General features: G+C 49.5%; 1 protein-coding gene across 5 annotated transcripts in view; it reads left to right on the top strand.

Moving 5' to 3' along the window:
- The window catches only part of PITPNM3 (PITPNM family member 3), a 105,293-nt gene that overhangs the window by 20,872 nt on the left and 69,963 nt on the right, over window positions 1-14,458 (top strand). For 4 of the 5 annotated variants that reach the window (NM_031220.4, XM_011524015.4, XM_011524016.4 and 1 more), the window contains exon 3: window positions 10,221-10,328. The exons of the other annotated variant lie outside the window; for it this stretch is intronic. In NM_031220.4, coding sequence (NP_112497.2) covers window positions 10,221-10,328 — 108 coding nt within the window. The remainder of the gene's footprint in view (window positions 1-10,220; window positions 10,329-14,458) is intronic. 5 annotated transcript variants of the gene reach the window in all.

Here is a 14,458-nt window from a genome sequence, read left to right as displayed (position 1 = left end):
GCCTCCCAAAGTGCTGGGATTACAGGTGTGAGCCACCGCACCCGGCCACTTCCTTTTTTTCTTCTCCCTTTTTTCGGGATCCCAGACTCTCCCGTCTTTCCCCATCTTCTGCCTCTCCACACACCCTACAGGACCTCGTATATCTCTGCAGCCTCCCTCCCATCTGCCCTCTTCCAGAGCATCTGCATTCCTAAGCCACAGGATCCACCTCACAGGCTGCTGGGACCCTGTTTAGTTCTGATTTGCCAACTGCTAACCTCCTTTCCATTCCTCCCTGACCAAGGCCTTTGTGTGTTTCCTTGGCTCAAGGCAGTGAGAGGTGAAGCCATGCTTTCTCTCTCTCCCAGGGCTCTGGTCCAGCCCAGCCCAGCCCAGCCAGTGCTCTGTGTCTGGGACCAGGCCATGGGCTTCTGAGTATCCCTTGAGGGTCTGCTTCCCTGCCCTCTGCTCTCCAGCCCAGGCTGAACCCTGACCCTGACCCTGACCCTGGGTGTGGTCTCTGTCTTCCGCTTGAGCATGGCCTGGCATCCTGTGGCCTCAACAGTTCCAACTCTAGTTGTGGTGGGGCCAACACCATTAAATCCAGCCCCACTCAGACATCCTGCACCAGAGCCTCCAGAGCTCCCTGGGTTTCCCCCATGAGCCCCTCAAAAGACTCCTTGGCTGCCATGGATGTCTATTTCAACAGTTCCTGCACGTGTGGAGGTCTTCACAGGTGACCTTCTCTGTGTCTCCCTGCAGAGACCAGCTGGGTACTTGCAGCCAACTCCTGGGCTTCGTGCTGCCCTGGGTATGGCAGTCTCATTGCTGCCTGGGCAGCCTTCTGTCCCTGAGAGCTCCTGCATCTGTACTCCCTCCTCTGCCCATAACCGCCGTCGTGATCCCCCACCCCTGCCCACCTCAACTGATACAAAAATGACCAGAGGAATGAGAAACCAAGCGGCGTCTACACTGGAAGAAACTGCGTAGCTAGGTACCAGCACTGACTGGACCTGGGAACAGTGTATCTCCTTCCTCCTCAGTGCACTAATAGGGAAACTGAGGCCACAGCACCAAAGGGACCCCCTGCCCCCCACCACCACCAGATCACACATCAAGGTGGAAGTGCAGGGGCTGGAACCCGGGAGTTTAGTGTCCAGGTCAGCCCTTTCCCTTTGATGTGTTACCGATTAGGACCGTCCTCCCTCCCTTGCAGCCATCAGCCCCAACCCTTTGGCCTGGCAATGGGGTTCACCTGGAGAGGCCCTTGGAGCTCATGGTCTGGGAGCAGAGAGGAGTTCTGGGTTCTGGGGGTCTCTGGTTCTGTATGGAAGGCATGGGAGGGATTAGGGAACAGTCAGGCAGGAGTATTGAGCTCTCTGGAACCATAACAACTCCTCGGCAGGGTGCCAGCTCCTCTGGCTAAGGTGGCAGGTCTGGGGCTCAGGAGTGATTAGATGCTGCAGGGTGGGCTATGGGGTCCAGGCTCCCAGATTCAAAAGAAGTGTCACTCCCTCCCCTGTCAAGACAGGATATCTGGGGGGCCACAGCCCAGCAGTGCCGAGGTTGGAAGATGCAGGGTAAGGGAAAACCCAGAGTGGCCAGAAGGGGATGTGGCCTCCAACCCAGAACAAGCCAGAGCTGGGAGGCTCCTCAAGGTTTTTGAATCTAACACCTCTGACTCACTTTACAAGCTGGGAAACGGAGGCTGGGGAACCTTGTTTAGGGCCACACAAAGAGGCAGAGCGGGAGCTAGAATTCAGCCTCATTCATTTACTCTGTCCACAGTATTAATGGTGCGTCCGTCCATCAAGTGCCAGGTGCTCTTCTGGGTGTGGGGGATACAGGAGCAAGCGAGTCCTGCCCCAGCCAATGGAGCTCATAGCCTAGTGGTGGTGGTAGGTGACAAATAGGAAGACAATACACAAGCAAATACATTCTATTAAGAATTACCATAGGCTGGGCACAGTGGCTGTAATCTCAGCACTTTGGGAGGCAGAGGCAGGCGGATCACGAGTTCAGGAGTGTGAGACCAGCCTGGCCAACATGGTGAAAGCCCGTCTCTACTAAAGATACAAAAAAATTAGCTGGGCATGGTGACACACACCTGTAATCCCAGCTACTCAGGAGACTGAGGCAGGAGAATCGCTTGAACCCAGGAGGCAGAGGTTGCAGTGAGCCGAGATCATGACATTACACTCCAGCCTGGGTGACAGGGCGAGACTCTGCCTGGAAGAAAAACAACAACAACAAAACACCATAAACAAAATAACACAAAGGAATAAATGCTGCACCAAAGCAGATATATACATGGCAAGTAAGCATGTGAAAAGATGCTCCACGTCATTCATCATTAGGGAATGACGTCATTACTGTAAATCAAAACTGCAATGAGATACCAATACCTACTTATTAGAATGGCTGATTAAAATAACTTACCAGGGGCCAGGCATGGTCGCTCATGCCTGTAATCCCAGCACTTTGGGAGGCTGAGGCGGGTGGATCACCTGAGGTCAGGAGTTCGAGACCAGCCTGATCAACATGGAGAAACCCTGTCTCTACTGAAAATAGAAAATTAGCTGGGCATGGTGGAGCATTCCTGTAATCCCAGCTACTCGGGAGGCTGAGGCAGGAGAATAATTTGAACCTGGGAGGCAGAGGTGGCGATGAGCTGAGATCGCGCCATTGTACTCCAGCCTGCGCAACAAGAGGGAAACGCCGTCTCAATAATAATAATAATAACTTACCAAGATGTGGAGGCACTGGGACTTTCAAACTCGGCTGGCGGGAATGTATGATGATACAATCATTTTGGAAAATTGATTGCAGCTGCTTAAGAAGCAAATCATACTTCACTACCATGTGACCCAACCCTTCTGCTTGTTGGCATTTCCCCAAGAAAAAGAAAGCATTTGTCCACCTGAGAACTTGCTCATGAATGTTCCCAGCAGCTTGATGGATTATAGCCCCACACTGAAAACGCCCAAATGAGCATCAGTGAGTGAACAAATTGTGGTACAGTTAAGAAGGAACGGACCACGGATATATGCAACAATATGGATAAATCTCAGAATAATCATGCCAAGTGAAAGAAGTCAGACTGAAGCAGAGTACATCCTGTATGATTCTATTTATACACAAGTCTAGGACATGAAAACCAATCTGTGGTGCCAGGAGCAGATCAGCGGTCGCCTGGGGATGGGGAGTTGGGGGAGGAGGGATAAATAGGGGCAGGAGAGAACTTCTAGAAGGGATGGAGCCTTGTTCACTAGCTTGATTGGGGTAATGGTTTTACAGGTATGTACATATGTCAAAACTTACCCAGCTGTGCGCTTTAAAGGTGTGTAGTTGATGGAATGTCAATTATGCCTCAGTAATGCTGTTTAAAAAATGGAGACTGTCCCCACCATATAACATAAAAGGACATGATAGAGTGGATGGCTGCTAGAGGGTCCCTGGGGTGTGGCCCTGAGCTGAGAGCTGAGTAATGAGAAATGAGCCACCTGCGAATCCAGGGGGAAGAGTGTTCTAGACAGTGGGAACAGCCAGCGCAAAGTGTTGATTGGTGGAATGAGCTTGGCATCTTTTTTTTTTTTTTTAGACGGAGTTTCACTCTTGTCACCCAGGCTGGACTGCAGTGGCACAGTCTCGGCTCACTGCAACCTCTGCCTCCCAGGTTCAAGTGATTCTCCTGCCTCAACCTCCCAAGTAGCTGGGATTACAGGCATGTACCACCAGGCCCAGCTGATTTTTTTTGTATTTTTAGTAGAGATGGGGTTTCACCATGCTGGCCAGGCTGGTCTTGAACTCCTGACCCCAGGTGATCCGTCCGCCTCAGCCTTCCAGAGTGCTGGGATGACAGGCGTGAGCCACTGCACCCAAGCTCGGCATCTTTGAGCAACAGCAGGAAGGCTGGTGTGGCCAGAGTGAGCCAGGGAGGCACTGGCTCAGTGCTGTGGGTTCACAGCCCCAGCAAGGAGAGAGGGGGCAGACTAGACCCAGTAGCCCATATTGTGGAAGGCAGTGGGTGTCCTCTGGACACGCTTTCCTGGCCAGGCTCAGGGTTGGCCCTGGGTACCCCGTCCCTGTCCCAGAGAAGGCCAGAGATGCAGAACTCAGAGTCCGTAGTGCAGGATGGATCCTCAAAATGGAACCATGCCTGGACCTTGAGTGAGCTCCTTATTGTGAGGGATGAAGATTGCTGGGTGACAGGTAGTCTGGCCAGAAGCCATGGGTAAGAAAAGCTTAGTGGACCAAGGAGGATGGGTTGACATGTTAGAGCAGCCCAGGTTTCCCAGGGTTCCTGGCTATGAAACGCTAAGTTCTAGAGAGAAAAATGAAACGGTCTTTTGAAGTCTTCATCCCTGAAAGGATGCAAGGTTGGGGCTAGTGCAGTCACTGTGGTATTGGTTGAGTTTATTTGGGATTTGGCTGGATATGCCAAGACTAGCTCACTTTGTGTTCTGTTTTTATAGCAAAATGTATGTCTTCATTTAGAAAATATCAGCTGCATCCTTCACTTTAACCTTAGATGGAAAGAATAATCCAATTATTTGGATATTGGAAATAATTGGAACAATATCCAATTATTTGTACCAGCAAACATCTAGGTACAAACAGAGGTGGTTTCATGAAATTAACTGCCAGGAGATAGTGTTACTGGGAGTGCCTTTAATTGGCAGGATCTCGATTCTTGGCCCAGCCCTTCCCCTGAGGTTCTGCATGGCCGTGGGCCAGTGGCACAGCTCTGTACCTGTAAAATGAGGATGCTGGGCTTCACCTGGAAGGATCTGTCAATGAGGCTCCCCATGGCCTTGCAAGGCTCTGTTGGCTGTGGTGTCCAGGTCCATTCCCTCACTTGAATGGGAAATACTTTTCTTTCGGTTTCCCAACCCCCTCCAGCATCTAAATAGCCCTCCCTCCATGAATATGCATAAGCAGGCCAGGCCCTGACAGTTGCAGAGACAAAAATGCCATCAGGGCCAGGAATGGGCTGGGTATGGTGGTGGTGGTGGTGGATCTAGGATTTACTCTCAGGGCACGTCTGGCACTGGGTAGCTGGATCAAGAGCAAAGCACAAGACTTGTCTCCTTCAGCAGGGCTAAGGGAACTCTCTGAGCTAGAAGCTGGAGGAGTCCTCCTTTCTGCATTTACCCCCATGTCTTTTGTGTCCTTGGTTTCTTGCTCTCTCAGTGGCCAGCCTGGCTGGTCCTCCCCTCCCCCACTCCCCAAGGTGGGAGGCTGGGGCCTGAGGAGCTGGGTTCTGTGTTGCGGAATCTGCTTGTGCCTCTAACTCCTGGTTTCCCATAGCAATTGGGAGAGGAAGGTAGTGCACGGCTAAATCATCCCATTTTACAGACGAAATTTCAAAGTCAGGGTCAGGTCTCACAGAGAATGGGGGGCACATGCCAAGCCTTCTCATTTTGATCTGAGCTTTCCCTGTGATCACTCAGCCTCCCGGCAGTTTCCAACCCCAAGGGTGAGAGAAGGGGGAACAGAAGAAAATGATATGTGTCCTCTGGGCATAGAGGACCAGGTTTCCATGATAGTTGTCACTGACTGTCTGCCCTCTGATCTCAGGCAAGTCTTGGGTCTCTGAGCCTCAGGTTCCTCATCTGTAGAATGGCAAGGGTAGAACTGTTTGTCTCCTGGAGGGAGTGGAAGGATGTCACCGTGGGAAGCTGCGTGATTATTCCTGGGCCAAGGAGCCATCACAGAAGCAAAGCACAGGTGTGCCACAGGCCCCCACTCTCCCTCTACCTTTTCCCCCATTGGGGGAGGGGAAGTGGAAAAGAGAACGCCATGGAACCAGCCCCAACATGTCTGGGGATGGGCTGTGTGGGGACTGCCCCTCACAAGGAAGAGGGAGTCATGGTATTGGCTATAGGGGGGCCATGGGGGCATGTGGTAGGCAGTGCAAGGTGAATGTGAGCAATCTTGTGGTCCAGAGCCCCAAGCAATGCATATCTAGGTCCTTGGAGAAATCCATGTTGTGGGCCTGATGATGAGTGGTACTGGATGGGCCATCTGCAGAATGTGACCAAGCCCTCGGCTCCATGAGCTGGAGGTGAAGCTTTCCTGGCATGAGACAAGGAGATTTTTTTTTTTTTTTGAGATGGAGTCTCACTCTGTCACCAGGCTGGAATGCAGTAGCACGATCTCAGCTCACTGCAACCTCTGCCACCCGGGTTCAAGCGATTCTTCCACCTCAGCCTCCTGAGTTGCTGGGATTACAGACACCCGCCCCCACGCCCAGCTAATTTTTTGTATTTTTAGTAGAGATGGTGTTTCACCATGTTGGTCAGGTTGGTCTCGAACTCCTGCCCTTGTGATTTGCCCGCCTCAGCCTCACAAAGTGCTGGGATTACAGGTGTGAGTCACTGCGCCTGGCCAAGACAAAGAGATTCTTTACTCTGGAGTCCTGTCAACAGTAGAAACAGAAGCTCCAGGATAGGAAGAAAGGCTTTCCTTATGGCATTGTAGGTTGTGCTTACAGGAGTAGAGTATAACCAGGTTTTGGTCAGGGTCAGAGTCAATCTGTGGTCAAGGCCAGGGCTATTGTGACAGTGGGTGAGGCTCAGCTTGGAGCTTAATCAGAGCTGGGTCAGGTCTCAGTAGGGTGAAGTACATGCTAAAACCATGTCCGAAGCAGAGGTCACCAGGATGAGAATTAGCATGCAGGAGACAGTCATCAGAAGGTGAAAAGCAAAATCAACCAGGGCGTTTATACAAATGAGCACGCTGTGGCCTCCACAGGTCCTGTTGGAGGCATGTCCTACAATGTGGGAAGCAGAGCAAAGACTTCAAGCTGAGCCCTGCAGCTCCCCTCTTTGCCTGAATGGCTCCAAAAGGAGATATTGCTGCTGCTGCTTCCGTGTGTATGTGTGTGTGTGTGTGTGTGTTCTTGTTGCTTCTCAGGGGACAAGCCAATTGTTGCCAGAGTGAAGACGTAAAGGCTGAGTGTGGGAGAGAAAGCATGTTGGGGAGTTGGGAGGGTGCACAGAGCAGCAGAGAGACAGGGATGGGCGGAGGGGCAGGGAGTGTGAGAATGCCAGAGAAGGTAAGATAAAGCAGAGAGTGAGAGGGAGCAGGAGGGAGAGAGGGCCACACACATATGCACACACATGCACATATGCACATACTCACACATGCATGTACACACTCACTTGCATGTACACACATGCACACAATGCATGTATGCACTCACACATGCATGCACACACATGCATGCACACACACATGCACGTGCACACGTGCACACACACATAGCAAGAGAGAACAGGGAGGGGAGGGAGAACACCCTTAGGGAGCAGGGGGCTGGAGAGATCCTGAGGACAGGGACCCAGAGAGACAAAAGAGAAATCCATAGAGAATGAGAGAGATCAAGAAAGAGACATACCCAGCCTGATAAGATGAGACCCAGAGAAAGGAAAGAGAGAGATGCTGGGGTGAGAAGAGAGCAAGGCAATGCATACGTGTTCCACCCAGAGAGAGATACGGATGTGGCAGGCAGCATGGGAGAGCTTGGGAGAGGCAAAGAGAACTACAAGGACCAAGAGAGACACAGACCCATAGAAAGGGGTCCAGAGAGCTCAGATCTGAGTGAGTCAGGGCCAGATGTAAAGCGTGAGAGAAGCACGGTGAGACTCTGGTAGAGAAGGACATATTTGATCGGAAACAGACAAAAGCCCAAAAGCCAAAGATGGAGCAGGGTTATACTGGTGATTAGGAAAAAGAGGAAAGTGGCCTGGGCCATGCAGGAGTAGGCATGCTCAGACCTCCAGAGCCCTGGGAGACCCCACAGGGTTCCAGTAGCCTTGCATAAACCACTGGGACAGGACTTATGGCACTGTAGAAGAAAGCTAGGATGTGCTGAGTGCCTGCTGCATACCTGGCTCTCTTAGCTTATGTCAGAGGTATTTCTATCATGTTTTTCACAAAACTGGATTCCAGCAGGAGGGAGGTTGTGTCTCACCCTGCACACAGTAGGTGCTCAGGAATCTATTCACCGTAGATTGAATGCTAGAATGAACAAATGGATAGCTCCATGCTTGAGTAACTGAACCAGGAGACAAAGAACTCAAGGTGGTAATTGGGCTGATCCTGATTACCTCACTCTACAGCTGGGGTAGAATGTCATAGGGGCCAACAACAGCAGGAGTGGAACCAAGAGTGAGTGTGGGGCATAACACCCATGCTCCTACTGGTGGTGGTGGTGCTGGTGATGATGATACCATCATGCAATGGCATCTCAGCCTGTGCTTTTACTGTGTGTGGGGCACTCTTACAAACACCTTTACCTGCATCTTCTCACTTAATGCTCACAACAATCCAATGACAGAGGCCCTACGATGATATCACTTTTAGATGAGGAAACTGCAGTTGTATTGCTAGCAGATGGTGGGTCCAGGATTGAAAAAAATCAATCTAACATGAGAATTGAGCTCTTAACCTCTTCATAATTCTGCTTCCCGAAGAATAATATCACCTCATATTTGTTTACAGCACCTTGACTTGCGTCGTATTTTCAAATTTGCTATATTATTTGTCCCCACAGCAGCTTGCTAGACAGAGCTATAGACCCTGAGTCGTTATTGTTGTTTAAAAGATAGGAAAGCAGACACAGTGGTGGAGGGTGTGGAAAAGCACAAAGCTCACATGCAGCAGGATCTGCACTGGAACCTGGTCAGGGCCCTGCCCAGCACAGAATAAACCAGTTCCCAGATGGAACACACTGGGCTCAGGAAATTGTCCGAATGTGTGTGGTGCCTGGCTGGAGTGTGGGCAGCCAATACAGGATGTCCAGGGCAGGCTATCAGGATGGCAGGATTTCAGGACTCTTGAAATAGTATACCTGGTTTTAAATCCTGGCTCTAGCCAGTGACCTTGGGCAAGAATTACTCAGCTACTCTGTGCCTCAGTTTCCTTGTCTATAAAATGGAGATAATAACAATTTTACCTTTTTTGTATTGTTTTGAGAATCGAGTTAATATTTGTAAAGCACTTATAATAATCTCAGTGTATGGTAACGGTTAGATAAGTGTTGTTAAGTCAATCAAATAGATACATAAAATAAGACAGGAGGAGATGTCCTAACCAGAATTGGGGGTCTGGTCAACTGAGCTCTTGAGTGAATCAGAACTCTGGACAGCTCCCAAAGCTTCAGATGCACCATATTGATTCCTTCTGCTAGGTAAAGTTCTTTGGCAGTGAAATGGATCTCAACCCTTTATTCTTAATTATCATAAGCTTGGAGATTGTCCTCAACACCCTTTGATGTCTGTTCTGCGAGGGAGGGCACAAAGCTCTTCACCAGAAAGGCACATCTGTTTTTCGGCAAAGTATGGGGAGGAGAGCACACATGCCTAAGGGTTTGTCTTTGAAGAAATGTCCCTTTGTAGGATGAGGGATGGTACCAGATGTGTGTATCTGATGTGTGGGACCCAGGGCCTTGTATTCAGCGTGGTTATGGAATATAGCCCCACTGATTTCTCCCAGAAGACTCACTATGCTCAGACAAGGAAAGAACAAGGATAGAGACAGGGTTGAGGGGAGGAGTGGGAGAGAATGGAGGAATTAAGAGGGTCATAAAGTTCAGATGGGGGCTAAAGGTTCCATACAAGTCAAAGCTTCCTTAGAACCGGAAGGTTTCTTCTCCTCCAGTTACTCCAGAGCTGCTTCTGCAGCACACAAATCCTCATCCACTCAACTCCTGGTGGTGAGTTACTTCTCATGTGATGACATCATCATGATTGCTCTCATCTATGAGCACCTCCTCTGCACTAAGACCTTTACATCCATTATCTCATTTAATCCTCACAACACCTCTGTGGCCAGATCCATTTTAGTGATGGGAAAATCGAGGGTCAGAGAAGTCAGTAATTTAAAGAAAAACTGCTTGCAAATGACAAGGTTTTGCTCTTTCTTCCCAAACACACTGACTTTCAAGAGATACTGCCATCAGTGCTAGGAATGGTACTTTCTATGGGGTTTCAGGCTTTTTGTTACTTTCTTTTGCTGTTGCACGTGGAGGCCCAGTAGGGTACAACAGTACCTTCTTTCAATGATAAATCTCTGCAAGTCTTGTAACTGTCTAGCTACAGACACCTTCAAGAGTTGAGGTGTACCTCAACTCAAGGAAGAAATAGGACAAGAGAAAATGTCCCTCAGACATAAGCTCCTGATAGGGCTACCTATCCCTAGCTGCACCTGCTTCTGCTCACCGCTGCTTCTTCCCACAGAGGAGATGGCTGAAGGGAAGAATGCCATCCTCATTGGGATGAGCCAGTGGAACTCCAATGACCTCGTGGAGCAGATCGAGACCATGGGGAAACTGGACGAGCATCAAGGTGAGACTCTGCTTCTCTCATGACCAGGATGTGCACATAGGTGTGTTGCAGGGGGGGCTGTAGGGCTGGTGACTGGGGCTGGGGCTTGGGCCTTCTGTGAAGAGTCTATCTGCCTTGGTTCCTCCTTCATAGCATCCCTGAATTTTGCCACTTACAGGAACTCTCATGGGGACTTCTGTGGGGTTTTCTGTGGCATAAAAGCTCCAGCCTACTTCAACAGAGCTTCCTTTGTCCACAGAATGACTACCCCAGTGGCACGGGTGGTTAATGGCAGGTGCCTGGGTCCAAGCTCCTTGGACTGCCAGGTCTTTGGTATTGGAATCTGCTGAATAAGGAGGGTGACAGTTGGAGGAGCCTTTGAGCAGGACAGGAGCTGAGGTCTAAGGGGAGAGAGAAGGACAGCAGTGAGAATCAGGATTTCCTTTGGTGGAGTTGTTGAAGAAGGAGTATATGGCTGGGGATTAATCCAGGAGGCTTTCTATGGAGAAGAGTTTTGACCAGGAGTTTGATCAGCCTACAAAGCAGGCTGATTCTTTTTGGCATCCATCTATCCATCTGTTTGGCTATTGTTCATCACTAACAGGCTCATTGAGCACCTACTGTGTATAAGTGCTTGGCAGGAGCAACCAAAGGTGATTCATCTGAGGCCTCTGTCTTGTGATGTGTGACACGTATAAGTCAAGATATGTGGATCAGGCTTAAGCTGAGGGTGTTAGCTCAGAAGGGAGAGGCATGACTTTCAGGAGGCAGGAGAGGGGATCCAGGAAGGGCTCCTGACAGTGAAGCAATGGGGCAAGGCTTTAAAATTCAAACGGACAACGTGGCTGAAGATGTCGTAAAATCTGAGCTCACATATGGGAAACTGAGCTCAGAGATCTTCAGCTGAGGGCTGTATTTGATTAATGTTACAATGGAGTGAGAAGCAGAGCCAGGGCTAGACCCACATCTGGGATGCAGGGTGCTAACCTCTGTACCTGTTACCCTCAAGTTGGTTTCTTCCATCCCTCCTTCCCCACCCCACATACCACTCCTCCTACTTTATTTCTTCTTCATCTTCTCTTCTCCTTCCTCTATTGCTCCTGTCATTCGCAGTCGTGCTCTGGCCCAGAGTTGCCGAGTGGGCAAGGCCATGCTCTCAGGAGGCATTCAGTGAGATGGTCCTGGCCCAGCCCACGGGAACGGCTGCCTTGGTAGTGACCATCTTGCCCTGTTCCTGTTCCTTTTCTCATCCCCATCCTTGCCTCCTTGGTTCAGAGCTCTCCTTTTGCCAAAGCACTCATCCTGAGAAATGGGCAGGCCTGGTGTGGTCATCCCATCTAACCAACAAAGAACCCAGGCTCAGAGGAGCCACGTCTTGCCCAAAGTCCCCCAAGCTGGTGGCAACATCAGGCTCAGATTCCTGGTCTTCTGATTCCCAGTCCAGGGCTTCACCTCCCGGACTGGACTAAGGCTTGGCACAGTTCTGGGCCCCAACAAAGTCAGGCTCAAGGAACCATGAGTCTGAAAGGAAAGGCACCCTGTACCACTGTCCCATCCACGAGAAGGGGGGGCTCTGACTCTGGCCCCCAAGGGCAATCCAGAGACAACTTACCAGTCGTCATAGCCATGTATCTGCCAGTGGGTCCTTTGCTGCTCTTTCCTTCATCCCAAGAACCCCAGAGGGGGCCTAGAAGGGGTCATGGATTCTAGGTCCTGCCCCACAATAGTGCTTGTAGCCTTGAAAAGACAAATATGGATTTGTACCATCCATTTGGCCATCCCCTTCCCATCCCCCATCCCCACTTGTCTGCTAAAGAATGTATGACTCAGACCCAGTGAGAGCTAAGGGCAGTCGGTCAGGTGAGCAAGAGGCAGAGTGAGCTGGGAGGGCACTGGAGGGCAGGGGACGAGGAAGCACAGCGGGAGGTCCAGGACAGAGGCAGAAGCTGCAGTGCTGGAGTCAGAGAGGCCTGGGTTTGAACTTCAGCCATGCCACTCCATGGCTGTGTGGTCAGGAAAAGTCACATCACCTCCCTGGTCTTCTGTTTCTTCATCTGCAGAGTGGAGGACTAGTAAAAAAGCTGTGATGATTAAATGAGATGATATTTGCAAAGTGCATTCGATAGCAGGTCATTCTTATAATGATGGAAGGGGGAGAAGCATGACCAATGTTGCACAAGTGGCAGCCCTCACAAATGCTTCCTGATGCTCATGAATGAAGGGCAGTGCTTACCTGAGTCCGAGGGTTGGTACTATTTCCTCCCAGTACAGAATGGGGAGCGGGAAGAAGAGAGGAGAGAGGGTAAGAGGAAGAGGAAACCAGCTGGATTTCCAGCTCCTTCCAAGTCCCATTCTCGTGTGAATTCATAATGTGAATTCCCACAACATGACAGAACACACACATTCATTTCAATAATCATTTATGGAGCCATCACAGGGGCTCAACCCTGTGCTCAATGTAGGGGGAATAAAGACAAGCAGGATGGCCTTGTCATTCCTGAGAAGCTTGCAGCAGAGTGGAAGCGACAGATCAGAGCCAGGGGTTACTATGCAGTAAGGCAGGCTGGGACAAGGCTCTGAGAGGCTCTGGGAAGTATCTTGGGGAAAGGAAGATCCGTGAACTCTTCCTGGAAAGGAATGCAATGGAAATTGGTGGCATAGACAGAGCAGATCCTCTTGTCTTCTTCAAGTTGCCTGCCCTTAGACACAGGACTCATTCCAGGCCCCCCTCCCCTGCCTCATGCTGGACGCTCTGGCCAGTCACACTGCCTCCATGGGTGCTCCAGCCACCTCGATGACAACTCCTTGCTCTATCTCCAGCCAGGACCTTTCTTCTGGGCTCCACACTCGCATTTTTGGTAACCTCCTGCTAACCTCTACCTGGATGTCCTAAAGACTCCTTATGCTCCACAAATTCCAAATGGAGCCAACCTTCTTCCCTTTAAGCCTGAATTCTGTTTTGTATTTTACCTTTTCTCTCCCTAACCATTTAAGTCATATATTTCATCAGCACTTTCAGACTGCTCTCATCCCTCCAGTTCTCAAGGGTGTTAATTCTGCTCTGTGTGTGTGTGTGTGTGTGTGTGTGTGCGCACACTAAATATACCTCATGGGTCTTCTTTCTCATTTGTGATTGTGAACTCATCTTGGTCACACATACCTCTCTTTTCTTTTTGGGGGAAGTCTTTTGTGCCCTAGGTTGGGAAAATGTCCTCATAAAGACCGGCCTTGTTTCCTGCTGGGCCTGAGTGTTTCACTAATCTTGAATATTTTATAGGCTAAATTTATAGTTTAGAGTTTCCATTCTACATGGGTGGTGTAAATTTAGACCCTACACCCAGAAGTGGCACAGGCTTAGGGTTTTAATTACTCATGTGTGAATTTTCTCTCTCACTGTCTGTGAATGGTTTCTTTGCCGCTTCCGCAAAGAAGGTTCTTTTTGTAAGTTCCTGTAAGGATGGAATGGCCCTTCAAGTGTCCCTGCTATAAAGTGGGTGCCACATCAGCTCCTTGCCATCCACAGGCTGAGGTCAGGTTGGTGGAGTTCACAGTGTGGTTTTTAGGCTCTGGCCCTGGAGCCTCTTTCTTTATTCGTCTGACTCATGGGATTCACGGATCTCCTCTATCTCAGCTTCTGCTTTCGTCTCTGGATTCCTTTTTTGTTTCTGGCACTGTGTATTATACATTTTTTATTTTAAGCTTGGTTATATATTTATCTTTTTTGGCAACATATTGCCCAGTATATATATATATTTTTTTTTAATGGAAAGGGATCCTTCAGCACCAGCTGAACACCCAGAAGCGTGTTGTTATTACTATTATTTTACAATTGTTCAAATATTATTATTTATTATACTATTATTATTTTTGCAATTGTTTGTCTTGTTATTTTTGTGTAACATTTCTTATTGTGGTAAAATATGCATAACATAAAATTTACCATTTTAACAATTTTTTTTGTTTTTGAGACGGAGTCTCGCTTTGTCACCCAGGCTGGAGTACAGTTGTGTGATCTTGGCTCACTGCAACCTCTGCCTCCCAGGTTCAAGTGATTCTCCTGCCTCAGCCTCCCAAGTAGCTGGGATTACAGGCGTCCGCCACCACCCCCAGCTAATTTTTGTATTTTTAGTAGAGACAGGGTTTTGCCATCT

This window comes from Homo sapiens, chromosome 17 (genome assembly GCF_000001405.40).
Source record: "Homo sapiens chromosome 17, GRCh38.p14 Primary Assembly".
Taxonomy (NCBI): domain Eukaryota; kingdom Metazoa; phylum Chordata; class Mammalia; order Primates; family Hominidae; genus Homo; species Homo sapiens.
This window is presented reverse-complemented; position numbering and strand designations above follow the sequence as displayed.